Source organism: Homo sapiens, chromosome 19, assembly GCF_000001405.40.
Source record: "Homo sapiens chromosome 19, GRCh38.p14 Primary Assembly".
NCBI classification, from domain to species: Eukaryota; Metazoa; Chordata; class Mammalia; order Primates; family Hominidae; genus Homo; species Homo sapiens.
This window is the reverse complement of record NC_000019.10, coordinates 55,090,918-55,117,659: the sequence shown is the minus strand read 5'-3', so window position 1 is coordinate 55,117,659 and position 26,742 is coordinate 55,090,918. Positions and strand designations below refer to the sequence as shown.

Sequence of the window (26,742 nt, the reverse complement as noted above, 5' to 3'; positions counted from 1 at the left end):
GGGGCGGTGGGGGGCCAGCGGCAGTTCCCGGCGGCCCCCGGGGCGGGCGGGCGGGCGGGTGGTGGCGGCGGTTGGGGCTCGGCGCTCGCTCGCTCGCTGGGCGGGCGGGCGGTGCGATGTCCGGAGAGGATGGCCCGGCGGCTGGCCCGGGGGCGGCGGCGGCGGCTGCCCGGGAGCGGCGACGGGAGCAGCTGCGGCAGTGGGGGGCGCGGGCGGGCGCCGAGCCTGGCCCCGGAGAGCGCCGCGCCCGCACCGTCCGCTTCGAGCGCGCCGCCGAGTTCCTGGCGGCCTGTGCGGGCGGCGACCTGGACGAGGCGCGTCTGATGCTGCGCGCCGCCGACCCTGGCCCCGGCGCCGAGCTCGACCCCGCCGCGCCGCCGCCCGCCCGCGCCGTGCTGGACTCCACCAACGCCGACGGTATCAGCGCCCTGCACCAGGTCAGCGCCCCCCGCCCGGCGTCTCCCGGGGCCAGGTCCACCCTCTGCTGCGCCACCTGGGGCATCCTCCTTCCCCGTTGCCAGTCTCGATCCGCCCCGTCGTTCCTGGCCCTGGGCTTTGCCACCCTATGCTGACACCCCGTCCCAGTCCCCCTTACCATTCCCCTTCGACCACCCCACTTCCGAATTGGAGCCGCTTCAACTGGCCCTGGGCTTAGCCACTCTGTGCTGACCACTCTGCCCCAGGCCTCCTTACCATTCCCCTTCGACCTACTCTCTTCCGCATTGGAGTCGCTTTAACTGGCCCTGGCTTTGGCAGCCTGTGCTGACCCATGCAGTCCTCCTTACCATCCCTCCCTCGACTTCCCCTCTTCCGATGTTGAGCCCCTCCAGCCGGTCCTGGACTTTGTCTCCTTCCCTGCCCTGCCCTCTCCTGAACCTGAGCCAGCTCCCATAGCTCAGTCTGGTCTATCTGCCTGGCCCTGGCCATTGTCACTTTGCGCTGCCCTCCTCTCGCCCCCGAGTGCCCTTGCTGTGCCGCCGGAACTCTGCCCTCTAACGCTGCCGTCTCTCTCCTGAGTCCGGACCACTTTGAGCTCTACTGGCTTCTGCGCCGCCTCTGGCCCACTGTTTCCCCTTCCCAGGCAGGTCCTGCTTTCTCTGACCTGCATTCTCTCCCCTGGGCCTGTGCCGCTTTCTGTCTGCAGCTTGTGGCCTGGGTCACCTCTACGGCTGGCCCAGATCCTTCCCTGCCGCCTCCTTCAGGTTCCGTCTTCCTCCACTCCCTCTTCCCCTTGCTCTCTGCTGTGTTGCTGCCCAAGGATGCTCTTTCCGGAGCACTTCCTTCTCGGCGCTGCACCACGTGATGTCCTCTGAGCGGATCCTCCCCGTGTCTGGGTCCTCTCCGGGCATCTCTCCTCCCTCACCCAACCCCATGCCGTCTTCACTCGCTGGGTTCCCTTTTCCTTCTCCTTCTGGGGCCTGTGCCATCTCTCGTTTCTTAGGATGGCCTTCTCCGACGGATGTCTCCCTTGCGTCCCGCCTCCCCTTCTTGTAGGCCTGCATCATCACCGTTTTTCTGGACAACCCCAAAGTACCCCGTCTCCCTGGCTTTAGCCACCTCTCCATCCTCTTGCTTTCTTTGCCTGGACACCCCGTTCTCCTGTGGATTCGGGTCACCTCTCACTCCTTTCATTTGGGCAGCTCCCCTACCCCCCTTACCTCTCTAGTCTGTGCTAGCTCTTCCAGCCCCCTGTCATGGCATCTTCCAGGGGTCCGAGAGCTCAGCTAGTCTTCTTCCTCCAACCCGGGCCCCTATGTCCACTTCAGGACAGCATGTTTGCTGCCTCCAGGGATCCTGTGTCCCCGAGCTGGGACCACCTTATATTCCCAGGGCCGGTTAATGTGGCTCTGGTTCTGGGTACTTTTATCTGTCCCCTCCACCCCACAGTGGGGCCACTAGGGACAGGATTGGTGACAGAAAAGCCCCATCCTTAGGCCTCCTCCTTCCTAGTCTCCTGATATTGGGTCTAACCCCCACCTCCTGTTAGGCAGATTCCTTATCTGGTGACACACCCCCATTTCCTGGAGCCATCTCTCTCCTTGCCAGAACCTCTAAGGTTTGCTTACGATGGAGCCAGAGAGGATCCTGGGAGGGAGAGCTTGGCAGGGGGTGGGAGGGAAGGGGGGGATGCGTGACCTGCCCGGTTCTCAGTGGCCACCCTGCGCTACCCTCTCCCAGAACCTGAGCTGCTCTGACGCGGCCGTCTGGTGCGTTTCACTGATCCTGGTGCTGCAGCTTCCTTACACTTCCCAAGAGGAGAAGCAGTTTGGAAAAACAAAATCAGAATAAGTTGGTCCTGAGTTCTAACTTTGGCTCTTCACCTTTCTAGTCCCCAATTTATATTGTTCCTCCGTGCGTCAGTTTTACCTGTGAGATAAGGCCAGTAGCCAGCCCCGTCCTGGCAGGGCTGTGGTGAGGAGGGGGGTGTCCGTGTGGAAAACTCCCTTTGTGAGAATGGTGCGTCCTAGGTGTTCACCAGGTCGTGGCCGCCTCTACTCCCTTTCTCTTTCTCCATCCTTCTTTCCTTAAAGAGTCCCCAGTGCTATCTGGGACATATTCCTCCGCCCAGAGCAGGGTCCCGCTTCCCTAAGGCCCTGCTCTGGGCTTCTGGGTTTGAGTCCTTGGCAAGCCCAGGAGAGGCGCTCAGGCTTCCCTGTCCCCCTTCCTCGTCCACCATCTCATGCCCCTGGCTCTCCTGCCCCTTCCCTACAGGGGTTCCTGGCTCTGCTCTTCAGACTGAGCCCCGTTCCCCTGCATCCCCGTTCCCCTGCATCCCCCTTCCCCTGCATCCCCCAGAGGCCCCAGGCCACCTACTTGGCCTGGACCCCACGAGAGGCCACCCCAGCCCTGTCTACCAGGCTGCCTTTTGGGTGGATTCTCCTCCAACTGTGGGGTGACTGCTTGGCAAACTCACTCTTCGGGGTATCCCAGGAGGCCTGGAGCATTGGGGTGGGCTGGGGTTCAGAGAGGAGGGATTCCCTTCTCAGGTTACGTGGCCAAGAAGCAGGGGAGCTGGGTTTGGGTCAGGTCTGGGTGTGGGGTGACCAGCTTATGCTGTTTGCCCAGGACAGCCTAGTTTTAGCACTGAAACCCTCAGTCCTAGGAAAACAGGGATGGTTGGTCACTGTCTCTGGGTGACTCTTGATTCCCGGCCAGTTTCTCCACCTGGGGCTGTGTTTCTCGTCCTGCATCCTTCTCCAGGCAGGTCCCCAAGCATCGCCCCCCTGCTGTGGCTGTTCCCAAGTTCTTAGGGTACCCCACGTGGGTTTATCAACCACTTGGTGAGGCTGGTACCCTGCCCCCATTCCTGCACCCCAATTGCCTTAGTGGCTAGGGGGTTGGGGGCTAGAGTAGGAGGGGCTGGAGCCAGGATTCTTAGGGCTGAACAGAGAAGAGCTGGGGGCCTGGGCTCCTGGGTTTGAGAGAGGAGGGGCTGGGGCCTGGACTCCTGGGTCCGAGGGAGGAGGGGCTGGGGCCTGGACTCCTGGGTCTGAGGGTGGAGGGACTGGGGGCCTGGACTCCTGGGTCCGAGGGAGGAGGGGCTGGGGCCTGGACTCGTGGGTCTGAGGGAGGAGGGGCTGGGGGCCTGGACTTCTGGGTCTTAGGGAGGCGGGGCTGGGCCTGGACCCCTGGGTCTGAATGGGGAGAGGCTGGGGGCCTGGACTCCTTCATCTGAGGGCGGAAGGGCTGGGGCCTGGCCTCCTGGGTTGAATGGGGAGGGGTTGGGCCTGGACTCTGGAGTCCCTGGTGCCCAGGCCTCAGGCATCTTTCACAGGGATGCCTGTACTGGGCAGGTCCTTGAAAGGGAAAGGCCCATTGCTCTCCTTGCCCCCCTCCCCTATCGCCATGACAACTGGGTGGAAATAAACGAGCCGAGTTCATCCCGTTCCCAGGGCACGTGCGGCCCCTTCACAGCCCGAGTTTCCATGACCTCATGCTCTTGGCCCTCGTAGCTCCCTCCCGCCTCCTCCAGATGGGCAGCTTTGGAGAGGTGAGGGACTTGGGGGGTAATTTATCCCGTGGATCTAGGAGTTTAGCTTCACTCCTTCCTCAGCTCCAGTTCAGGTCCCGGAGCCCACCCAGTGTCCACAAGGCCTGGGGCAAGTCCCTCCTCCGACCCCCTGGACTTCGGCTTTTGTCCCCCCAAGTTTTGGACCCCTAAGGGAAGAATGAGAAACGGTGGCCCGTGTCAGCCCCTGGCTGCAGGGCCCCGTGCAGAGGGGGCCTCAGTGAACTGGAGTGTGACAGCCTGGGGCCCAGGCACACAGGTGTGCAGCTGTCTCACCCCTCTGGGAGTCCCGCCCAGGCCCCTGAGTCTGTCCCAGCACAGGGTGGCCTTCCTCCACCCTGCATAGCCCTGGGCCCACGGCTTCGTTCCTGCAGAGTATCTGCTGGGGTGGTTTCCGAGCTTGACCCTTGGAAGGACCTGGCTGGGTTTAAGGCAGGAGGGGCTGGGGGCCAGGACTCCTGGCTCTGAAGGAGGAGGGGCTGGAACCTCTTCCCTAGTCTGAGCACTGGAAGCGCCACCTGTGGGTGGTGACGGGGGTTTTGCCGTGTCTAACAGGTACCATGTGGGGTTCCCGCACCCAGATGAGAAGCCCCCTCCCTTCCCCGTTCACTTCCTGTTTGCAGATAGCCAGGAGTCCTTTCGTGGTTTCCACTGAGCACTGAAGGCCTGGCCGGCCTGACCACTGGGCAACCAGGCGTATCTTAAACAGCCAGTGGCCAGAGGCTGTTGGGTCATTTTCCCCACTGTCCTAGCACCGTGTCCCTGGATCTGTTTTCGTGGCTCCCTCTGGAGTCCCGACTTGCTGGGACACCGTGGCTGGGGTAGGTGCGGCTGACGGCTGTTTCCCACCCCCAGGCCTGCATTGATGAGAACCTGGAGGTGGTGCGCTTCTTGGTGGAGCAGGGCGCCACTGTGAACCAGGCAGACAACGAGGGCTGGACGCCACTGCACGTGGCCGCCTCCTGTGGCTACCTAGATATCGCCAGGTGAGGCAAGGGAGGGCCGGGCAGGACCTGGTCGGGGTGGGGGCCTGGACCCTCAGCCCTGACCAGCCCCCACCCCCAGGTACCTCCTGAGCCACGGGGCCAACATCGCCGCCGTCAACAGTGACGGGGACCTGCCCCTGGACCTGGCCGAGTCGGACGCCATGGAGGGGCTGCTGAAGGCGGAGATCGCCCGCCGAGGTGGGCTCTGGTGTGCTGTGTGTGGGGTGGGGGACACCTCCTCACCCGTGGTCTCCAGGCTGAGAGCTTTAGAGGCGGCCTGGGCACCGAGGCTGACCCTGCTTCCTAGGATTGTCTTTCTTTGTGCCTCAGTTTCCTCACCTGTGAAATGGGGGTGTAGGGGCCTGCCTCCAGGATTGCTTGGAGCCCAGCACACGCACAGGATGAGAACTCAAACCCCTACCAACTGGGACTGTCAATCCCCCTGAGTAACTGAGGGGATTGGAATGCCGGGGCGGGGTGGGTGGGTGGAGGGACTCACCCAGGAGTGCGTTAGGTAGGATTGCTGGAACCCTGCCGCAGGTCTTTCTGGGAGGGGATGCGTTTACTTGGGGGGGAGTAGGGGCATGCAGGGGTTGCCAGGGACTGGTCTCCCTGTCCTCTGAGACTCATCGTACCCCAGGAGCCTTCATATGGGGTCCAGGAGCCCCTGAAACTGTGTCTGGCCAGGTTCATTTTTCTAGGGAAGGGGTGTTGCTTCTAGCAGGTGTGTGATGGCCACACAGGATCCCTGGGTCCCCAGCATGTCTTCTAAAGTCCTGGGCTTGCCTCCCAGCTCTGCCTGTGACTGGTGACTCCAGGCACGTCCCTGAAGCTTGCTTCCCTGATTTCCTAAAACAGGACCACTGGTGCCGCTTCATGGGGTGGTTGTCAGGGTCTGGCTGGGTTGGAGTGGAAGGGTGTGAGCATGGTTCCCGGCAGACTCCAGGGGACCGTGTGGAAGGAAAGGGAGACTGACGAGGAAATGAGATACCGGCAGCCTCCGAGACTTCTGACGCGGCTGTCCTGACGGGGCCGCTGGCCAGGCTGAAAGGATAGGATTCCGCGTGGGTTCAGGGGTCCACGAGAGCCATGCGGGAGGACTAGCTAGTGGGACACGTGACGGCGGAGATCTGAGGTTCGGGAGCCCCTCTTTGGTTGAAATGGGGAGTGGGTCAAATCAGCCCTGGACCTGGATTCTGTCTCCTTCCTCCTCCAACTTTTTATTTTGGGAAAGCTTCAGATTTACAGAAAAGTTGAAGCAATAGCATGTGACTACCCATATGACTTTCACTAAGATTCGCCAGTGCTTTTTCTTTTTTGTTTTTGTTTTTTAGACAGCTTTTTGAGATGTAATTCACCTACCCTACAATTCACCCAAAGTGCACACTTCAGTGCTTTTTAGTCTATTCACGGGGTCGGGCATTTATGACCACATTGGTTGTAGAACATTTTCATCATCCCCCAACGAAACCCTGCAACCGCTTAGCCATCACCCCCAACCATGCACCCCCCCCTCCCCCCCACCCCACGAAGCCCTCTCTGCCTTCTGTCTGTGGATTTGCTGTTTTGTACACTTCACATAAAGGGAATCATACAGTATAGAATCATCAGCTTTTAACTTTTTGATAGATTTGTGTTCCTTCTCTCTGTCCCTCCCTTGCGATCTCTTCCCAGGTATAGACATAAACACATTTTTTCCTATCCTTTCTCCTCCTGTTTTTTTCCCTCCATCTCTCCCTTCCTTTCTTACCACCCCACCCCTGCCTTTCCATTCCTGAGCCTTTTTTTTTTTTTTGAAACAGAGTTTCACTTTTTGCCCAGGCTGGAGTGCAATGGCATGATTTCGGCTCACTGCAACCTCCACCTCCTGGGTTCAAGCGATTCTCCTGCCTCAGCTTCTGGGTAGCTGAGATTACAGGCGTGAGCCAGCATGCCCAGCTAATTTTGCATTTTTAATAGAGATGGGGTTTCACCATGTTGACCAGGCTGGTCTCCAACTCCTGACCTCAGGCGATCTGCTGGCCTCGGCCTCGCAAAGTGTTGGGATTACAGGCGTGAGCCCGGCCATTCTGAGACTGTGTTGCAGGCATTGTACATCTTCGCCTGATGCACAGCAGGTATCTCCTGCCACAAGGAAAACCTCCTGCAGAACCACAGTAGGGATGCAACACGCTACCCCCTGTGTTGACCTTGATGCTACACTCTCACCCACCGCACCAACCTTGATGCTACACTCTCACCCACCGCACCAACCTTGATGCTACACTCTCACCCACCGCACCAACCTTGATGCTACACTCTCACCCACCGCACCAACCTTGATGCTACACTCTCACCCACCGCACCAACCTTGATGCTACACTCTCACCCACTGCACCAACCTTGATGCTACACTGTTGCCTGCGTTTCTCCTTGACATTCTTTGTAGCCTCTCCCGCTCTGGTTCAGGGCCCAGCTAGGGATCCAGATCTGGGTGATTTAGGCTCCCTCTGTCTGGATCAGTCCTCCTTTTCCCTTGGACCCCAGGGAGGCCGGGAATGGCCTCCAGGGGGTCTGTGAACTTTCTGACGTTGTATTTTCCTGCAGAAATTGCTCATAACTTGCATCAGCTTCTCAGAGGGGGCCATGCTTCTTCCCTCCCGTGGGGTGAGGAGAAGGCTGGGAGGGATACATTGGTGGGGGATATTGGCTTGTAGGATCAGCCAGGAACGAAGACCACTGGGGCCACTGGAAAGACCCTCAGCCGTGCTGCTCGGGGTGGGACTCTGCGGCCCCAAATCACAAGGCGACTGCCTGTGACACCCTGTGACACCCGGCTCCACACAGGAGCCTCAGAGGGGCTGCAGTGCGCAGGACCTGGATCACAGGCTGCACCCCAGCTCTAAGGAGGGCGGGTCTTTTGCACCCCCTGCAGGACACGCCCACATGATGCAGAATTCCCCGAGGTGCTGGCATCCAGACTGGCTCTGGCCATAGTGTGGCCCTGGCAGCCACTCACAGGCAGGGCTGGGAGAGAAGACAGACCGGCCTCAGGCACGACCATCCCCTTCGCTTTCCCTGGCTTACTTGCTGTTTTCCTCTCTCTGGGTCTGGGGTTCAGTGAGAGCACGTGATCTGCTCAGCCAGTCACCTCGTGGCCTGGAGCCACCGCTCCCTCCAACACCGCAAAGTCCTCTGGCCCAGTCGACTCAGGGGCTGAATCGGGCATGACTCTTTGCAAGAACCAAAACCCGTTCCTCCTGGCTCAGGCCGGAAAAGGCCATTTGAGGCCTGGCACAGTGGCTCAGACCTGTAAGCCCAGCACTTTGGGAGGCCAAGATGGGAGGATCTCTTGAGCCCAGGAGTTTGAGACCAGCCTGGGAAACCTAGTGAGAACCCATCTCTATAAAACAAAACACATTAGCCAGGCGTGGGAATGCACGTACGCTCCCAGCTACTCAGTAGGCTGAGGTGAGAAGATTGCTTGAGCCTGGGAGGTGGAAGATGCAGTGAACCACGGTCACTCCAGCCTGGGGGCAAGACCCTGTCTCAACCAAATAAACCAAAACAAAAAAGGCAATTTATATACCCGTGTTCATAGCATCGTTCACAATAGCCCAGAGGTAGGAGCAACCTAGTGCCCATCATCGAATGAATGGAAAATCAACATGTGGCCCATCCATGCGGTGGGACATGATTCAGTCTTCATCCCAGCACTTAGGGAGGCCGAGGCGGGCGGATCACCTGAGGTCGGGAGTTTGAGGCCAACCTGACCAACATGGAGAAACTCTGTCTCTACTAAAAATACAAAATTAGCCAGGGGTGGTGGCACATCCCTGTAACCTCAGCTGCTCAGGAGGCTGAGGCGGGAGAATCACTCGAACCTGGGAGGTGGAGGTTGTGGTGAGCCAAGATCGTGCCACTGCACTCTAGCCTGAGCAACAAGAGGAAACTGTGTCTCAAAACAAAAAACAAAACAAGACAAAACAAAAAACACACAATGTAGATGTATCTTGAGGACATTATGCTAAGTGAAAAGTGAAAATAAGCCAGTCACAGAAGGACAATTACTGTCTGATTCCACGTCTGTGAGGTACCCAGAATAGTCAAAATAATGGAGACAGACAGTAGAATGGCTGTAGTCAGGGACTGGGAGGAGTGGGGAGAATAGGAAGTAGTTTAGTGGGTACACATTTTTTAAAATGATTTTTATATTTTTTGTGGAGACGGGGTTTCACCACGTTGCCCAAGCTAGTCTGGAACTCTTGAGCTCAAGTGATCCACCCACCTTGGCCTCCTAAAGTGCTGGGATTGCAGGTGTGAGCCATTGTCCCTGACCTAGGGTACACGATTTTAATTTTGCAAGATGAAAAAATTCTGGAGATTGGTTGCACAACAACCAATTGTGACTACTTAATGCCACTGAATTGGGGTTAAAATGGTAAATTTTAGGCTGGGCGCGGTGGCTCAGGCCTGTAATCCAGCACTTTGGGAGGCCGAGGTGGGCAGATCACCTGAGGTCAGGAGTTTGAGACCAGCCTGGCCAACATGGTGAAACCCCGTCTCTGCTGAAAATATAAAAGTTAGCCGGGCATAGCGATGTACACCTATAGTCCCAGCTACTCGGGAGGCTGAGGCAGGAGAATTGCTTGAACCCAGGAGATGGAGGTTGCAGTGAGCCGAGATCTCACCACTGCACTCCAGCCTGGGCAACAGAGCAAGACTCAGCATCTCAAAAAAAAAAAAAAAAGATGGTAAATTTTATACTGTGTGTATTTTACCACATTTTTTTCACTCTGAGATGGAGTTTCTTTATTTTTATTTTTATTTTTTATTTTTTTAATTTATACTTTAAGTTCTATGGTACATGTGTACAACATGCAGGTTTGTTACATATGTATACATGTGCCATGTTGGTGTGCTGCACCCATTAACTCGTCATTTACATTAGGTATATCTCCTAATGCTGTCCCTCCCCCCACCCCACGACAGGCCCCAGTGTGTGATGTTCCCCTTCCTGTGTCCAAGTGTTCTCATTGTTCATTTCCCACCTATGAGTGACAACATGCAGTGTTTGGTTTTCTGTCCTTGCGATAGTTTGCTGAGTGATGGTTTCCAGCTTCATCCATGTCCCTACAAAGGACATGAATTCATCCTTTTTTATGGCTGCATAGTATTCCATGGTGTATATGTGCCACACTTTCTTAATCCAGTCTATCATTGATGGACATTTGGGTTGGTTCCAAGTCTTTGCTATTGTGAAAAACAGCAGCAATGGAGTTTCACTCTTGTTGCCCAGGCTGGAGTGCAGTGGCATGGTCTTGACTCACTGCAACCTCTGCCTCCCGGGTTCAAGCAAGTCTCCTGCCTCAGCCTTCCAAGTAAGTGGGATTACAAGCACCCGCCACCATGCCCAGCTAATTTTTGTATTTTTAGTAGAGATGGGGTTTCACCATGTTGGCCAGGTTGGTTTTGAACTCCTGACCTCAGCTGATCCACCCGTCTCGGCCCCCCAAAGTGCTGGGATTACAGGCGTGAGTCACCGTGCCTGGTCACATTTTTTTTTTTTAAAGGCAGTCTATGGCCTTATGTAGCTGAAGTCCATATGGGCTCTAGGCATAGCTTGATCCAGGGGCACAAGTGAAGTCCAGAGCATCTCTCTATCACTCTGCTGAACTCTGTTGGCTTCACTCTTAGACAGGTTCTCTCCGTGAGGCACTCAGCATGGGTCCTACTGCAGGCCCATATCACAGCCAAAACACAGCACCTCTTGCCCTGTGCGTGATGCTCACTGGGCCACCTTGGTCAGATGGCAGCTCCTGAGCCCATCACTGTTGCAAAGGTGACAGGAAGGCCTGGTGATGTGCGCACCCTGGAGCCAGGCTATGGGCCCGGTCACATTGAAACCATATGGGGCAAAGTGTGGGTGAGGAAAGTCAAGATGAGGTCACAGGGGAAGGGAGAATGGATTTTCGTAGGCCCAAGCAGCAGCTGTGCTGCAGGGACACGCAGCAGCACCATGTCCTGTGCAGAAGGGACCCTCCCTGGCCACTTTGCACAGGGGCATGGAACTGGCAGGAAGAAGACATGATGTGTTTTTGAAACATTTGAAGCCAGCTCACTTGGAATTCCAGCATCCAAGTCAGCTGGAAGAGGGGGAGTTACCCTTGGAGGCAGGCGGAATCGACCATTGGATAGCTCCAAGTGCTGACAAGGGCGGACACGGGAGCTGATTTCTGCCTGGTGGGAAAGGTGATGATTCCAGCTACTTTGGGAAGTGGTTGGTCAGCATGGATTATAGCCGAAGGCCCCAGCTTTGCCTTGTTCTAGCAGTTCCACTCCTGGGCAGCCCGAGAGAGGCCTTCCCAACCATGGGCAGATGTTCATCATAGTATTGTTTGCAGTAGTAAGAGGTCGGAGCCCACACCAAAGAGGATGGATCAATCACTAAACTCTAAATGAGTGATCTAAGCAGGGGTCAGCAAACTTTCTCTGTAAAGGGCTAGACAATGAATGTTTCAGGTGTTGCGGGACACACCATGCCTGGCACCACTATTCCACTAGTGCTGTGGAGCGGGAGACTGCTAGGGATGGTGTGTGAATGAATGGGAATGACTGTTCCATCCCACGTTTATTGACAAAAATCGCCTTTCAGAATAGGCAAATCCACAGGGACAGAAAGATTGCTGGGTGCAAGGGGCTGGCGGAGAGGGAGGTCTGAGAAGTGACTTTTTTTTTTTTTTTAAGACAGGATCTCACGCTGCCTCCCAGGCTGGAGTGCGGTGGAGTGATAATGGCTCACTGCAGCCTTGACCTCGTGGGCCCAAGTGATCCTTCCATCTCAGCCTCCCAAGTAGCTGAGACCATAGGTGTGCACCACCATGCCCAGCTAATTTTATTTTTCTAGAGACAAGGTCTCCCTATGTTGCTCAGGCTGTTCTCAAACTAGTGGGCTCAAGTGATCTCCCATCTTGGCCTCCCAAAGTACTGGGATTACAGGCATGAGCCATGGTGCCTGGCTGGGAGTGACTTCTTCTTGGATACAGTATCCATTTGGGATCATGAAAAAGCTCAGGAAGTAGATAGTGGTGATGGTTGCATAATATTGGAGGTATCCTAAATGCCACTGAATTGTGCACTTTAAAACAGGGAAGTTGGTAAATTTTATGTTGTTTATTTTACCACCACCACCACAACAAAAGATAAAGAAAACACAACAGGTGGTCAACACCCACAAGCTATAGCTTTCTGACCCCTGGGCAAGGGCTCTGTCTACAGATACAGACAGATCTCAGCAACATGTTGAACACAAGAAGCAAATTGCAGAAGGATGTGCAGCAGACATGCAGAGGGCGCTGACTGTGGTTGAATAAAAAGCCAGTCACCCTCCCTTCCCCTCCCTGAATTGAGACCCATTCGGCTATAATAGGATTGAACAGTTGGTGACTCCTTTAAAGAAATGACACAGCCAGGTGTGGTGGCTCATGCCGGCTTTGGGAGGCCAAGGCAGGAGGATCCCTTGAGCCTGGGAATTTGAGGCTTCAGTGAGCCATAATTGCACCACTGTACTCCAGCCTGGGTGACAGTGTGAGGTCCTGTCTCAAAAAAAAAAAAAGGGTCAGATGCGGTGGCTCCTGCCTGTAATTTCAGCACTTTGGGAGGCCGAGGCGGGTGGATCATGAGGTCAGGAGTTCAAGACCAGCCTGGCCAACATGATGAAACCCCATCTCTATTAAAAATACAAAAGTTAGCTGGGTGTGGTGGCGTGTGCCTGTAATCCCAGCTACTCAAGAAGCTGAGGCAGGAGAACCGCTTGAACCTGGGAGGCAGAAGTTGCAGTGAGCCAAGATCATGCCACTGCACTCCAGCCTGGGTGACAGAGCGAGACCATATATATATATATATGGCCTAAAGTTTACTGAGCAAATCCAGTGCTCAATTACATCTAACTTTTCCTGTCACTACCAATATAATTTTTTTTTTTTTTGGAGACGGAGTCTCACTCTATCACCCAGGCTGGAGTGCAGTGGTGCAATCTCACTGCAACTTCCGCCTCCAAGATTCAAGAGATCCTTCCGCCTCAGCCTCCCAAGTAACTGGGATTACAGGCATAAGTCACCATGCTGAGCTAATTTTGGTATTTTTAGGAGAGACACGGTTTCAACACGTTGGGCAGGCTGGTCTCGAACTCTTGACCTCAGGTGATCTGCCCACCTTGGTCTCCCAAAGTGTTGGGATTACAGGCATGAGCCGTTGTGCCACCCCCCAATATAATCTTAATCCAGCATCTTCATACATTTTATCACCATTACCACTTCTGTCTATATATGTTACATATATAGGAGAGATATATATATAGGTTTTATATATATAGGAAATGTGTATATATAGGTGTTATATATATAGGAGATGCATATATATGTTATATATATATTATATATATAAATATTTTTTATATTTATATTTTTGTATGTGTGTGTGTGTGTATATATATATATATATATACTTTTTTTTTTTTTTTTTTAGACAGAGTCTCACTGTGTTGCCCAGGCTGGAGTGCAGTGGCGTGATCTCAGCTCACTGCAACCTCCAACTCCCGGGTTCAAGCGATTCTCCTGCCTCAGCCTCCCAAGTAGCTGGGACTACAGCCACCTGCCACCACACCTGGCTAAATTTTTTTTTTTTTTTTTGTAGTTTTAGTAGAGATGGGGTTTCACTGTGTTGGCCAGGCTGGTCTTGAAGTCCTGAGCTCGTGATCCACCTGCCTTGGCCTCTCAAAGTTGCTGGGATTGCAGGCATGAGCCACTGCACCCGGCCATGGTTTTATATTAAAAATAATAAAAATACGGTGAATTTCTGGTTGAAATGGGGAAAGGCCTGTGATCTCCGTTTTCCCAGTGCTTAGCGCTGACTCAGAGACCCTGAGTGGGACACACGACTGCATGGAGTACAGTTGGGAAACAACTGGGCTAGTCTGGGCCTCCTGAGTCTCAGAGGGGAGCAGGGGGAAGAGCTCTGGGCAAGTCACTGGGCTGAACCCTGGCCAGCCCAGTGTATGACCCTGGGTATTTCAGGTCATGGGGTGTGAGTCCTACCTCGTGCCTCTTATCCTCCTAGGTGTGGATGTGGAAGCAGCCAAGCGGGCAGAAGAGGAATTGCTCCTTCATGACACGAGGTGCTGGCTGAATGGGGGCGCCATGCCAGAGGCCCGGCACCCCCGCACAGGCGCCTCTGCCCTGCACGTGGCTGCTGCCAAGGGCTACATTGAGGTGATGAGGTGAGTTGGGCCAGTCTGTTCCATCTTGCTGTCTTATACCTTCCTGTGGATCTTGTCCTTTCCCTTTCTTTTTAAATGTATGTACCGAAGGCTATGTATTTCCCTCTAAATACAGCCTTAGCTGTACCCACAAGTTTTGATGTGCAGTCTTTTTTTTATTGTCATTCAGTGTAAAATATTTCCCAATTTGTAATCTTTTATTATTTATTTATTTTGAGACAGGGTCTTGCTATGTCACCCAGGCTGGAGTGCAGTGGCACAGTCGTGGCTCACTGCAGCCTCAAACTCCCCAGGCTCAGGTGATCCTCCTACCTCAGCCTCCTGAATAGTGGGGACTACAGGCGCACACCACCATGCCCCGCTAATTTTTGTAGAGATGGGGTTTCACCATGTGGCCCAGGCTTGTCTCGAACTCCTGGGCTCAAGTGATCCTCCTACCTCAGCCTCCCAAAGTGCTGGGATTACAGGTGTAAGCCACTGTGCTTGGCCTAATTTCAAAATATATAGGACTTCTAGTCATCATTTTGTTACTATTTTCCTGGCTTAATTGCATTGTGGTCAGAGAATGGGTTCCATATGATTCTAGCTTTTGAAATGTATCGTTTTACCTTATATACCCCAGTACATGTAAGTCGGAAAAGAATGGTGTCATCAGGTACAGTGTTCTCTGTAGGTTATTAGGTCAACCTTGTAATCATGCTGTTTTATTTGTAGTGCTTCTTTATCTTTAGTGATATTTCACCCACTGCTTATTCTGTCAGTTACTATGAGAGGTGCATTTAAATTCTTGCTGTGATTATGGACTTTGTTTCTTCTTATAGTTCTGTCAGTTACAATTTGTATATATTTTAAGACTAGATTATTTGGTGCATATATAGTTTATTTTTGTTTGTTTTTGAGACGGAGTCTCGCTCTGTCACCTAGGCTGGAGTGCAGTGGTGTGATCATAGCTCACTGCAACCTCCACCTCCTGGGTTCAAGGAATTCTCCTGCCTCAGCCTCCCCAGGAGCTGTGACTATGAGAGTGTGCCACCACACTTGGCTAACTCGTATTTCTAGCAGAGATGGGGTTTCTCCATGTTGGCCAGGTTGCTCTTGAACTCCTGACCTCAGGTAATCTCCCTGCCTCAGTCTTCCAAAATGCTGGGGTTACAGGCGTGAGCCACTGCACCCAACCAAGGTGCATATATAGTTTAAATTGTTCTAGTACACATTCCCTTTCTGTCATCCTCACCTCAGTCTTAGATTTTGTTCCTATTTGGCTGCCTTTCCCCTTTCTATTAAAGTTGTTGGTTCCAGTTCTCATCCTCAGGCTCCTCATTCTTTTTTCAGTTCCCTCTTCTCTCTTTTGTGATCATATACTTTATTATTTAGTATAAAAATGAAGTTAACATGAATTCCTCCCTGTCTCTGCTCATCTCTATGTTGACAGTTTTTAGTCAGGTTTTCTCGGTGAGGTACATAAGATGCCTCTAACCGCTCCAGGCCGCTGTCCCTTCGGCTTAGCACCTGTAACAGCTCCAGGCCGCTGTCCCTTCGGCCTAGCACCCGTAACAGCTCCAGACCGCTGTCCCTTCTGCTTAGCACCTGCTGAAGCAGAGCCCCTGGACCTCAGTGTCTGGCCAAGTCCCAGCTCTGTTGCTGACTGGGCCCATCCCTGAGCTGATCCTTACGACAAGGGGGACTGGAAACTCTAAATGGTTGGGCCTAGTGATGTGCCCAGGCCTGGAGGCCGTGTCCTTTTCCTCCCACGGCTTCCACCCCTGAGTCCTGGGGGCGGCTTCATCTCCTGCCACTGCACCTGCATACCAGCCAGCAGGAAGAGAGAGGGGGCAAAGGAGCAAACATCCATTCCTTTCAAAAGAGCAGTCCGCAAGCGGCACCACTTAACGCCAGCATCCCATTTGCCAGACGCTAGTCACATGACCGCTCCTCGCTGCAAGGAACAGTTGGAGATTTGTCTTCAGCTGGGTGGCCTGTGTCCGGCCAGGGGGCCTGTGTGGGTACTGTTAGTAGAGGGAGAAATGGAATCCATATTCGTGGAAGTGAAGCACTTTGGACTTAGAAATATTCATGACTATAGTGTCATTGCTGCTCCTTTGTAAGGGGACATGTTTACACTCAGACCTACTGACTGCATTTTTTATTTTATTTTTACTTTTGAGATGGAGTCTCGCTCTGTTGCCAGGCTGGAGTGCAGTGGCGCGGTCTCAGCTCACTGCAACCTCTGTCCCCTGGGTTCAAGCAATTCTCCTGCCTCAACCTCCTGAGTAGCTGTGATTACAGGTGTGCTCCACCATGCCCGGCTAATTTTTGTGTTTGTAGTAGAGACAGGTTTTGCCACGTTGGCCAGGCTGGTCTCGAACTCTTGACCTCAAGTGATCTGCCCGCCTCAGCCTCCCAGAGTGCTGGATTATAGGCATGAGCCACTGTGCCTAGCCTGACTGCATTTTTAAAATAATGTAACCAGCATTCTCCTCATCAAAGATCTGTTGCAGGCTGGGCGTGGTGGATCACGCCTGTAATCCCAGCACTTTGGGAGGTCGAGGCAGGCGGATCATGAGGTCAGGAGTTCAAGACCAGCCTGGCTAACACAGTGAAACCCCGTCGCTATTAAAAATACAAAAAATTAGCTGGGCATGGTGGCAGGCGCCTGTAATCCCAGCTACCTGGAAGGCTGAGGCAGGAGAATTGCTTGAATCCAGGAGGCAGAGGTTGCAGTCAGTGGAGATCGTGCCACTGCACTCCAGCCTGGGTGACAGTGTGAGACTCCGTCTCAAAACAAAACCAAACCAAAACAAAACAAAAAAACATTTGTTGCAGAGTAGAGGTATATGTTTATTTGATGATACTCATTCGATGCTTATTTTTGAGCCCCTGCTGTGTGCCAGGCAGTCTGTTAGGTGCCAGGGAAATGGGTAAACAAGACAGATCTGGGCCTGTGTGCGGCTCATAGCCTCGTGGGGAGACAGACATTTTGGGCTGATCGCTCTTGCTGCGGGGCCGTCCCATGCATCACAGGATGTGGGGCAGCCTCCCTGGCCTCCACCTATGGGATGTTGGGAGCATCCCTGGTTGTGAGAACCAAAAATGTCTCTGGACGTGGCCAAATGTCCCCTGGGGGGCAGCATTGCCCCAGTTGAGAACTGCTGGCTTAAGATATAAATAGGGTTATGGGAGAAGACAAGTGTGATGAGGAGGGGCTTTGGGGTCAGGAGACAGGGGGATGAGGGGGTGGTGACTGCCAAAAAGGGGCTCAGCGTGAGATGCTGCAGGGCACAGAACACTGCCCGGCTGAGAGCAGCAAGTGCAGAGGCCAGCGGCGAGCGGACGCTTGGGGAAATAGCGAGGGCCCAGCACAGCTGGGGCAGGGTGAGCTCCGGGCAAAGCGTGGGAAAGGTGAAGGGCAAGGTGGGCGGGACCAGAGAGAGGGACTTGTGCTTATAAGGCCTCTTTGTAGAATATCCCAGGCTGTCCATCTGTTCCCACTTTGTGAAGCTCTTTCTCATTGACACAGAAACTCATTCCAGTTCTCCAAAAATAGACACGTCCTACCGTTAAGCTGAGCTTGGAGAGTGGCCTTGGACTTGTAACCCTGCCTTTGCCCTCAGATTGAATGGTTTAAGGTGGTTATTGTTTTCTCGCAGAACACTGTCTCGGGTGAGGGTTTCTCAGCCTGGGCGCTGGCAGCATGTTGGGTCAGGTCCCTCTCCTTGTGGGGCTGCTGCTGAGCGCTCTGAGCGCAGCCGGGTGTGGAGCAGCCTCCCTGGCCTCCACCCAGCCGATGCCGCTAACCCTTGCCCTAAGTTATGACAACAAAGATGTCTGCAGACCTGCCGGGTCTCCCCTGGGGGACAGCATTGCCCTGGTTGGGAGTCACTGCTTTAAGCCAGCCCGGGTCCTAGAGCACTACTGCCCTGAGACAGCCCTTTGGGGGTCCCATCCTTCTGACAGGCATGGGGGCTGGCAAGGGTCCTGCACTTGCATCCTCCGGAGCTGCCTCCTTACACCCCGCTGCTGCCACCTTGGAATCCCACAGCCAGGGTGACCCCCTGCCAGCACCAGGAGCAGGTTCCAGAGGCCACCTGCAGGGTCAGGGTTTAACATGTAACTGCTGGTCCAAGGGGAGGGACAAGGCCTGGTGCAGAGGGGCCTCTTGTGGCAGCGGATGCTGGGCAGTGGCTCTTTACCAGCCTGTCCAGGGACGTTTCAGTCTCGTGGCCTGGGACCTCGTTACCAAACCGCTGGCCGAAATCAGCCCTCGGCCAAGGGCCCCGCCTTGGCCTCTGACCCTGAGCCTCCCTGGCCCCCAGGTTGCTCCTTCAGGCTGGCTACGACCCAGAGCTCCGGGACGGGGACGGCTGGACTCCCCTGCACGCAGCGGCACACTGGGGCGTGGAGGATGCCTGCCGCCTGCTGGCCGAGCATGGCGGGGGCATGGACTCACTGACCCATGCGGTGAGGGCCAGTGCCCAGGCTGGTGAGGGGCAGGGCGTGGGGAGGGCCCAGCACCTCCTTCATTGTCTGATCCTGCTCCTCCCCTGACCCAGGGGCAGCGTCCCTGTGACCTGGCCGATGAGGAAGTACTGAGCCTGTTGGAGGAACTGGCCCGGAAACAGGAGGACGTGAGTGTCAGGGCTGAGGGGCTTACCCCAGACTCCCCATGTCCCCTCAGCTCCTCAGAGGAGGGTGCAGAGGGGGAACCCCCCCGACTTCTGACACCCACCACCCCAGCGACCTGCTATTTCCCTCTTGGTGACCCAGCCCCAGCCCCAGCCTCAGGAGAGACCCCCAGCCGGGGCAGGACAGAGATGGGGCTGCAGAGCTTCCTGCCTGCCTGGTGGTGGGGGCGGCAGAAGGATTTGGACAGGGTTGTCTGACACCCTGATGAGGTTGCTTAGCACACCTCATCACCTCAGGGTGGCCCTTGGCAGCAGCCATGTGCAGGATTGTCCTAGACTCAGGCTGGGCTGGTCACCCACAAGGTGTCCCCCAGCCATCCCCGGGGCAGCCTTGCTGGGAAAACTTAGAGTGAAGGAGTGAAGGGCGTGAGCCTTGGCCAGACTGCCTGGGTTGGAATCCCGGCTCTGCCATGGATCTGCCGTGAGTCTCAGCCAGCCACTTTCCTTTCCGGGCCTCAGTTTCCTTATCTGTCAAATGGGAATGGTATGGTGCGCAACTGTATGAGGGGTCATGCGTGACACGTGGATTGTGCTGTCAGGAGCTCGGGGGAGTACGTGCCCCTGGAAAGCACTAGAGCCATGCCAGCGTTCAGTGAGCTCTGTGAGGTGACAGGAAGCTCCCAAGGCCAGGCCTAGGGCTTCTGGTGCGTGGGCAGGGGAGCGGAGACAGCTTCCTCTTTTGAAAGGTTGGCAGGAGCGAAGTGGAGGCTGATGGATGTAGGAGAAGATCTCACACAGGCTGGGGGGCAAGTGTGGGTGCCCTGAGGTGCCCAGGGAGGGGAGCGTAAGGCAGGGCAGACCCGGGAGGGCCACGAGTGCCAGGCGAGGAGCATGGTGGCTTCCATCCTGAGGGTGATACGGCCATGAGGGGTTTAATAGGTGGGGCAGGGTCAGCTCAGGGGGCCCAGATATGGGGGGAGACCAGCCTGGGAGCATCTGGGGACACTTTCTGGAAGACGTGAGTACTACAGCACTAAGAGTTTGCTAGAAGGGCAGGAATGAAGGGCCCTCCCAGTACAAAGGTGTGAAGACGGTGGTGAACTGCGCGGGGAAGGGGCGAAGACGGTGGTGAACTGCGGGGAAGGGGTGAAGACGGTGGTGAACTGCGCGGGGAAGGGGCGAAGACGGTGGTGAACTGCGCGGGGAAGGGGTGAAGACGGTGGTGAACTGCGTGGGGAAGGGGCGAAGACGGTGGTGAACTGCGAACTGTGCGGGGTAGGGGTGAAGACGGTGGTGAACTGCGCGGGGAAGGTGTGAAGACGGTGGTGAACTGCGCGGAGAAGGGGCGAAGACGGTGGTGAACTGCGGGGAAGGGGTGAAGACGGTGGTGAACTGCAGGGAAGGGGTGAAGACGGTGAACTGCGGGGAAGGGGCGAAGACGGTGGTGAACTGCAGGGAAGGGGTGAAGACGGTGGTGAACTGCGTGGGGAAGGGGTGAAGACGGTGGTGAACTGCGAACTGCGCGGGGTAGGGGTGAAGACGGTGGTGAACTGCGCGGGGAAGGTGTGAAGACGGTGGTGAACTGCGCGGAGAAGGGGTGAAGACGGTGGTGAACTGCAGGGAAGGGGTGAAGACGGTGGTGAACTGCGTGGGGAAGGGGTGAAGACGGTGGTGAACTGCGAACTGCGCGGGGTAGGGGTGAAGACGGTGGTGAACTGCGGGGAAGGGGTGAAGACGGTGGTGAACTGCGCGGAGAAGGGGCGAAGACGGTGGTGAACTGCGCGGGGAAGGGGCGAAGACGGTGGTGAACTGCGCGGGGAAGGGGCGAAGACAGTGGTGAACTGCAGGGAAGGGGCGAAGACGGTGGTGAACTGCGGGGAAGGGGCGAAGACGGTGGTGAACTGCGGGGAAGGGGCGAAGACGGTGGTGAACTGCGCGGGGAAGGGGCGAAGACGGTGGTGAACTGCGCGGGGAAGGGGTGAAGACGGTGGTGAACTGCGCGGGGAAGGGGCGAAGACGGTGGTGAACTGCGGGGAAGGTGTGAAGACGGTGGTGAACTGCGCGGGGAAGGAGGAGGCGAGTGCCGGCTGCAGGAGCCGGGGCAGCTGAGGGCCCACCAGTGCCCTGGGTATGCTGAGGGGTCGGGGTGAGGTCTAAGCAGGTCTCCCCTGGGAGCTAGAAGGACCCCTCTGGGGATGAGACTGGAGGCTTCTCATGGGTGGGGGCCGTGAGGACAAGACGGCAGTGCCTGCACGTGGCAGCTGCGGGCGCCTGCTGGACGCAGGGCACCTCCTGCCCCTGAGGTGTGTGGCCATCTGTAGGAAAACCAGTAAGCCCACGAGCCCTCGGTGCCCGCCTGGGCAGTGAGCTCCTGCACAGCTGTTTGTGGTGGTGTTGCTGTGGGGCACGTGTGCTCCACCCCTCCCCTGCAGCCCCCTTCCCTCCTTGCAGCTTCGGAACCAAAAAGAAGCTTCCCAGAGCCGGGGCCAGGAGCCCCAAGCGCCCTCTAGCAGCAAACACAGAAGGTATAGGGAGGGAGGAGTCCAGGGCTGGCGGGGTGGCTGGAGGCCCCGGGCTTGTACCCCAGCACCCTCTCCTTCCCCAACAGGAGCTCTGTGTGTCGTCTGAGCAGTCGCGAGAAGATTTCCCTCCAGGACTTGTCCAAGGAGCGCCGGCCTGGTGGGGCTGGGGGGCCCCCCATCCAGGACGAGGATGAGGGGGAAGAAGGTCCCACCGGTGAGGGGCCTGAATCTGGACTCCTGGGTCCGAGGGAGGAGGGGTCGGGTTCTCTGAATCTAGAGGCAACTGGCATCTTCTGTGACCTGCCCGGTGTTCCCACATCACAGAACCACCCCCTGCAGAACCCAGAACCCTCAATGGCGTCTCCTCCCCGCCGCACCCCAGCCCTAAGAGTCCCGTGGTGAGTGGATGCCCTGAGAGGTCCTGTGAGGCTGGGAGGGCCCGGAGGTGGGATTCCATACAGCCTGTGAACCTCTGGCAGGGGCAGATAGGGGGAAGACTATAGTTCCCAGAGTCGTCCTGGACAACCGGCTTCCTTTTTAGGCTGTGCCTGCCCCGGGGGCTGATGGGAATTGTAGTTTGTTGCAGTCCTTTGGGGGCTAACCCTTGAGGTCTGAGAAGAGGGATCCTTTCTCTCTAACTGAGACCTCCTCCTTCTCCCAGCAGCTTGAAGAGGCCCCCTTCTCCAGGCGCTTTGGCCTCCTGAAGACAGGGAGTTCTGGTGCCCTGGGTCCCCCTGAAAGGCGGACAGCGGAGGGAGCCCCTGGGGCTGGGCTGCAGCGCTCGGCTTCCTCCTCCTGGCTGGAAGGGACCTCCACTCAGGTGAGTGAGGGTTGGGCCGGGTCCAGGCCCAGGCCCCTGCCCAGTCGAGGGAACTGCCCCTTCCTCCCCTTCTCCTCTCCACACAGGCCAAGGAGCTCCGTCTTGCCAGAATTACCCCGACCCCCTCCCCGAAGCTGCCGGAGCCCTCTGTCCTGTGAGTCCCCAGGGCCTGGGCCCCTCAGGGGTGGGTGGCAGATGTGGGTTCCAAGCCTGTCCGTGTGATCCTGAGTGAGACCATGTACCCCCTGGGGTCTGGTTCCTGCCGCCACTCCAGAGCCTGTGCTGTGTTCCTCTTGGGGGCTCTCTCCCTCCCTCAGGTCTGTGTTGAAACGTCACCTTCTCCCCTATCTTCCCCCCACCCCGAGGTGCACACTGACCACCCTGCTGCCACCACGGCGCCGTCCGCACACGCACACCCTCCCGCTCTCAGTTCTCGCACTGCTGCTTCTGTCCAGAGTCCTTTATCCTTCTGACCGGTTGCGTAGTGTGCTGGTCTTTTCATGGCTTTTGTGGGTTTTGTGTATTTCTGCTCAGCTCTGACTCTGTTGTGGCCCAGATAATTTGTTTCTTTCACTCACGGCTGCATCTCCAGTGCCGGCACACAATGCACCTGGGTAATGTTTGTGGAATGAATGAATTGATGCAGGTCTGAGGTCACCAAGCCTCCTCCTTGCTTGGAGAACTCCTCGCCTCCCTCCAGGATTCCGGAGCCTGAATCCCCAGCGAAGCCAAACGTCCCCACAGCCTCCACGGCGCCCCCAGCGGACTCCCGGGACCGACGGAGGTGAAGAGGCCAGGGCAGGAAGCTGCCGCCCCCGCCCCCAGCAGGGAGAGACGATGTGAAGCAGGAGTCCCGGGGCTTTGGGTGGGCTCCTGAGGGAGAGCTGGCCTCAGGTCTGCTGGGAGTTGGAGTCCCCTCCCACAGAACTTGCTTCCCGCGGAGGGTGTCAGCCACGGAATGGGACAGGGTCCCCAGGTTCCCTGTCTGAGGTTGGGACCCTTCCCTCAGGTCCTACCAGATGCCTGTGCGGGATGAGGAGTCGGAATCCCAGAGAAAAGCTCGCTCCCGTCTCATGCGCCAGTCTCGGAGGTCCACACAGGTGTGGGGTGGGCTGGGGTCTGGACTCCTGGGTCTGAGGGAGGAGGGGCTGGGGCCTGGACTCCTGGGTCTGAGGGAGGAGGGGCTGGGGGCCTGGATTCCTGGGTCTGAGGGAGGAGGGGCTGGGGCCTGGACTCCTGGGTCTGAGGGAGGAGGGGCTGGAGGTCTGGACTCCTGGGTCTGAGGGAGGAGGGGCTGGGGCCTGGACTCCTGGGTCTGAGGGAGGAGGGGCTGGGGCCTGGGCTCCTGGGTCTGAGGGAGGAGGGGCTGGGGCCTGGACTCCTGGGTCTGAGGGAGGAGGGGCTGGAGGTCTGGACTCCTGGGTCTGAGGGAGGAGGGGCTGGGGCCTGGACTCCTGGGTCTGAGGGAGGAGGGGCTGGGGCCTGGGCTCCTGGGTCTGAGGGAGGAGGGGCTGGGGCCTGGACTCCTGGGTCTGAGGGAGGAGGGGCTGGGGTCTGGGCTCCTGGGTCTGAGGGAGGAGGGGCTGGAGGTCTGGACTCCTGGGTCTGAGGGAGGAGGGGCTGGGGCCTGGACTCCTGGGTCTGAGGGAGGAGGGGCTGGGGTCTGGGCTCCTGGGTCTGAGGGAGGAGGGGCTGGGGCCTGGGCTCCTGGGTCTGAGGGAGGAGGGGCTGGGGTCTGGGCTCCTGGGTCTGAGGGAGGAGGGGCTGGGGCCTGGGCTCCTGGGTCTGAGGGAGGAGGGGCTGGGGTCTGGGCTCCTGGGTCTGAGGGAGGAGGGGCTGGAGGTCTGGACTCCTGGGTCTGAGGGAGGAGGGGCTGGGGCCTGGGCTCCTGGGTCTGAGGGAGGAGGGGCTGGAGGTCTGGACTCCTGGGTCTGAGGGAGGAGGGGCTGGGGCCTGGACTCCTGGGTCTGAGGGAGGAGGGGCTGGAGGTCTGGACTCCTGGGTCTGAGGGAGGAGGGGCTGGGGCCTGGACTCCTGGGTCTGAGGGAGGAGGGGCTGGAGGTCTGGACTCCTGGGTCTGAGGGAGGAGGGGCTGGGGTCTGGGCTCCTGGGTCTGAGGGAGGAGGGGCTGGGGCCTGGGCTCCTGGGTCTGAGGGAGGAGGGGCTGGGCCCTGACCCCAGCGTCCCCTGACTGTCCCCTTTCCCTGCCAGGGTGTGACTCTTACAGACCTGAAGGAGGCAGAGAAGGCTGCAGGGAAGGCCCCAGAGTCAGAGAAGCCGGCGCAGAGCCTGGTGAGAGGGGTCAGCGAGGGCGAGTGGGGTGGTGCGGGATGTCCTGCTTCCCTGACTCGCCTCCCCCTCCCGACAGGACCCTTCCCGAAGGCCCCGCGTCCCTGGAGTGGAGAACTCTGACAGCCCTGCCCAGAGAGGTGAGGTCTGCTCTCGGGGAGGTCATTCCCAGGGAATCATCCAGTTTCTCCCATAGTCTTCTTGCTTTCCTGGGGGCTTGACCCGGGGACCCAGGCACCGAGAGGGGGCTCTGGAGGTGCCTGGGCTGATTCCTGCCCCTCCCCCAGCAGAGGCGCCCGACGGGCAGGGTCCGGGACCGCAGGCGGCCAGGGAGCACCGCAAGGTCGGAAAGGAGTGGAGGGGGCCTGCGGAGGTGAGGGGCTCAGGTGGGGCCGAGCTGGTGCAGAGGGTGGGCCGGGGGGCGGGCAAAGCCCTTCCCATACCCGCTAAAGTCCCTCCCATACCCATTGAACCCCCGTCTACCTGCCCACAGGGGGAGGAGGCGGAGCCGGCTGACCGCAGCCAGGAGTCCAGGTAGGGGCGGGGTGGGAGAGGTGGGGTCTGCGTGCGGGCCGGGCCGGCCCCTGACGCGCGCTCCTCCCCTGCCCCAGCACCCTGGAGGGCGGCCCCTCGGCCCGCAGGCAGCGGTGGCAGCGGGACCTCAACCCAGAACCTGAGCCAGAATCGGAAGAGCCAGACGGAGGCTTTAGGACGGTGCGATCCCACCCCTCCGTCGGGGCTTTGCCTGCTGGGTGCCCAGCTTCCTGGCTTCCCCGCCCCCCCAGCATCGCCCCATCCTCCACCTGACCCTCCTCTACCTGACCCCCAGCTGTATGCAGAGCTGCGCAGGGAGAACGAGCGGCTTCGCGAGGCCCTGACCGAGACCACGCTGCGGCTGGCGCAGCTCAAGGTGGAGCTGGAGCGGGCCACGCAGGTAAGGGCGCCGAGGCCAGGGTCACGGGAACTGGCAGGGCCGCCTGGGTGGGGCTTAGACTGCTGGGAGGTAGAGCCTGGCCTGGGGGTGCCGGCGGGGCTGGGCTTCACTTGAGGGGCGGGGCCGAGATCTCGGAGGCGGAGTCTGAGCGAGGGGATGGGGCTGTGGGCCTGCCGGTGGCGGGGCCTGGCCCGTGGGGGAAGGGCTTGTGGGCTGCCTAGTGGGCGGGCGGGTGCCCAGCAGGAGCCTAGGACCCTTCAGAGCAGTGCTGGCTTCTTCTGCTGACCCCTGTGCTTTCTGTGTCCTCACCAGAGGCAAGAACGCTTCGCTGAGAGGCCAGCCCTCCTGGAACTGGAGAGATTCGTGAGTAGGGGCAGTGGGGATGGGGGCCAGAGGCGTCCCCAGCCTCACATCCCTAAGTTTGGACCAAGGGAGCCACATTGCCCTTCCCAGCTGGCCCCTGGCCTTCCCCTGCCCTCCTCAGCCTCACTCAGTTTCTGCACTTTCCCTGTTCATTCCAGGAGCGCAGGGCCCTGGAACGCAAGGCCGCAGAGCTGGAGGAGGAGCTGAAGGTGGGGGCTGTGGGGGCTGTGGGCAGAGGGCCGAGGGTGGGTGGGGGTGCAACCCGCCAGGGCTGCCCAGCTGACCCTTGCCGTCCCCCAGGCCCTGTCTGACCTCCGCGCTGACAACCAGCGCCTCAAGGATGAGAATGCAGCGTTGATCCGCGTCATCAGCAAACTCTCCAAGTGACCCGGAGGGACTTTCCCGCACCCGTATTTATACAGCTGCTTCTGCCACACGCACCCCTTCCCCCGTGTGAACACGAGTGACAGGGCTCCGGGGGAAGTCTCAGAGAAGCCATAGCCCCCCTGGGACCTCCGGACTGGGAGGGGAGCAGAGTCCCCAGGAGCCGAGGGGGCCACCCGAGGCCAGGATGGAGGTGGGAGGCCGAGCCAAGCAGGGGGACGTTGCCAGAGGGGACCAGGGCCAGAGACGGGACCAGGAAGGAACTGAGGACCAAGAAGTGCAAGGATCAGTAGCCAGGACCAGAGTGGCCGCCTGGAGGTCCCCATCTCACGTGTGATGCCACCCCGTCACCCCTCCCCTCCTGAGCAGGGATCCAAGAATGTGCCAAGAGTCCCGCCAGCCTCAGCCAGGTGGGCCTGTATATAGGGTCCATGTGCAATAGGGAGGGACGTCTTCTATTTTTTGCTGCCCCCTCCCCGCCCACTGTCTGGGGCAGGGGGAGAAGGTATTTTCGAGATAAAGCACAGGCACCACAAATAAAAGTCGTGAAGTTGCCA

The 26,742-nt window shown here is 57.7% G+C and overlaps 1 protein-coding gene across 5 annotated transcripts, besides 10 other annotated features; it reads left to right on the top strand.

Annotated features, from left to right (window-relative positions):
• Positions 8-87: a silencer, noted in NCBI's record as "silent region_11015". NCBI's record gives its function as "represses an Ori minimal core promoter by ATAC-STARR-seq in GM12878 lymphoblastoid cells {active_cell/tissue: GM12878}" and the evidence as "EXISTENCE:reporter gene assay evidence [ECO:0000049][PMID:35858748]".
• PPP1R12C (protein phosphatase 1 regulatory subunit 12C) lies at positions 23-26,742 on the top strand. Of its 5 annotated transcripts, none has more exons than NM_001271618.2 (22): positions 23-437; positions 4,865-4,995; positions 5,075-5,193; positions 14,092-14,251; positions 18,565-18,709; positions 18,802-18,876; positions 21,325-21,398; positions 21,482-21,609; positions 21,720-21,793; positions 22,060-22,215; positions 22,302-22,369; positions 22,862-22,999; positions 23,225-23,315; positions 24,427-24,507; positions 24,584-24,644; positions 24,795-24,877; positions 24,998-25,038; positions 25,116-25,218; positions 25,334-25,438; positions 25,751-25,801; positions 25,960-26,010; positions 26,102-26,742. In NM_001271618.2, the coding sequence occupies exons 1-22, from the start codon at positions 117-119 to the stop codon at positions 26,186-26,188; spliced, it is 2,343 nt and encodes a 780-aa protein (NP_001258547.1). In that variant the 5' UTR covers positions 23-116; the 3' UTR covers positions 26,189-26,742. The 5 variants fall into 5 exon arrangements, 4 of the variants coding, with proteins under 4 accessions (NP_001258547.1, XP_011525347.1, XP_005259070.1 ...); XM_011527045.3 differs by having other exon boundaries at positions 24,792-24,877; XM_005259013.5 differs by having other exon boundaries at positions 22,057-22,215.
• Positions 278-357: a silencer, noted in NCBI's record as "silent region_11014". NCBI's record gives its function as "represses an Ori minimal core promoter by ATAC-STARR-seq in GM12878 lymphoblastoid cells {active_cell/tissue: GM12878}" and the evidence as "EXISTENCE:reporter gene assay evidence [ECO:0000049][PMID:35858748]".
• Positions 378-477: a silencer, noted in NCBI's record as "silent region_11013". NCBI's record gives its function as "represses an Ori minimal core promoter by ATAC-STARR-seq in GM12878 lymphoblastoid cells {active_cell/tissue: GM12878}" and the evidence as "EXISTENCE:reporter gene assay evidence [ECO:0000049][PMID:35858748]".
• Positions 792-1,627: an enhancer, noted in NCBI's record as "H3K4me1 hESC enhancer chr19:55627401-55628236 (GRCh37/hg19 assembly coordinates)". NCBI's record gives its function as "activates a minimal SCP1, AML or CMV promoter by ChIP-STARR-seq in naive H9 embryonic stem cells {active_cell/tissue: H9 hESC(naive)}" and the evidence as "EXISTENCE:reporter gene assay evidence [ECO:0000049][PMID:30033119]".
• Positions 908-987: an enhancer, noted in NCBI's record as "active region_15074". NCBI's record gives its function as "activates an Ori minimal core promoter by ATAC-STARR-seq in GM12878 lymphoblastoid cells {active_cell/tissue: GM12878}" and the evidence as "EXISTENCE:reporter gene assay evidence [ECO:0000049][PMID:35858748]".
• Positions 1,388-1,437: an enhancer, noted in NCBI's record as "active region_15073". NCBI's record gives its function as "activates an Ori minimal core promoter by ATAC-STARR-seq in GM12878 lymphoblastoid cells {active_cell/tissue: GM12878}" and the evidence as "EXISTENCE:reporter gene assay evidence [ECO:0000049][PMID:35858748]".
• Positions 3,179-3,805: an enhancer, noted in NCBI's record as "H3K27ac-H3K4me1 hESC enhancer chr19:55625223-55625849 (GRCh37/hg19 assembly coordinates)". NCBI's record gives its function as "activates a minimal SCP1, AML or CMV promoter by ChIP-STARR-seq in naive H9 embryonic stem cells {active_cell/tissue: H9 hESC(naive)}" and the evidence as "EXISTENCE:reporter gene assay evidence [ECO:0000049][PMID:30033119]".
• Positions 3,806-4,432: an enhancer, noted in NCBI's record as "H3K27ac-H3K4me1 hESC enhancer chr19:55624596-55625222 (GRCh37/hg19 assembly coordinates)". NCBI's record gives its function as "activates a minimal SCP1, AML or CMV promoter by ChIP-STARR-seq in naive H9 embryonic stem cells {active_cell/tissue: H9 hESC(naive)}" and the evidence as "EXISTENCE:reporter gene assay evidence [ECO:0000049][PMID:30033119]".
• Positions 3,806-4,473: a biological region, named in NCBI's record as "H3K27ac-H3K4me1 hESC enhancer GRCh37_chr19:55624596-55625222".
• Positions 4,344-4,473: an enhancer, noted in NCBI's record as "active region_15072". NCBI's record gives its function as "activates an Ori minimal core promoter by ATAC-STARR-seq in GM12878 lymphoblastoid cells {active_cell/tissue: GM12878}" and the evidence as "EXISTENCE:reporter gene assay evidence [ECO:0000049][PMID:35858748]".

What these genes read in the sequence shown, in the direction of transcription:
- PPP1R12C (NM_017607.4), top strand. Translation starts at nt 117, where the DNA reads ATGTCCGGAGAGGATGGCCCGGCGGCTGGCCCGGGGGCGGCGGCGGCG. An exon ending in CTGCCGGAGCCCTCTGTCCT is followed by an intron (nt 22,370 to 22,861) that starts GTGAGTCCCCAG and finishes GAATTGATGCAG; the next exon opens with GTCTGAGGTCACCAAGCCTC. An exon ending in GACCGCAGCCAGGAGTCCAG is followed by an intron (nt 25,039 to 25,115) that starts GTAGGGGCGGGG and finishes CCCCTGCCCCAG; the next exon opens with CACCCTGGAGGGCGGCCCCT.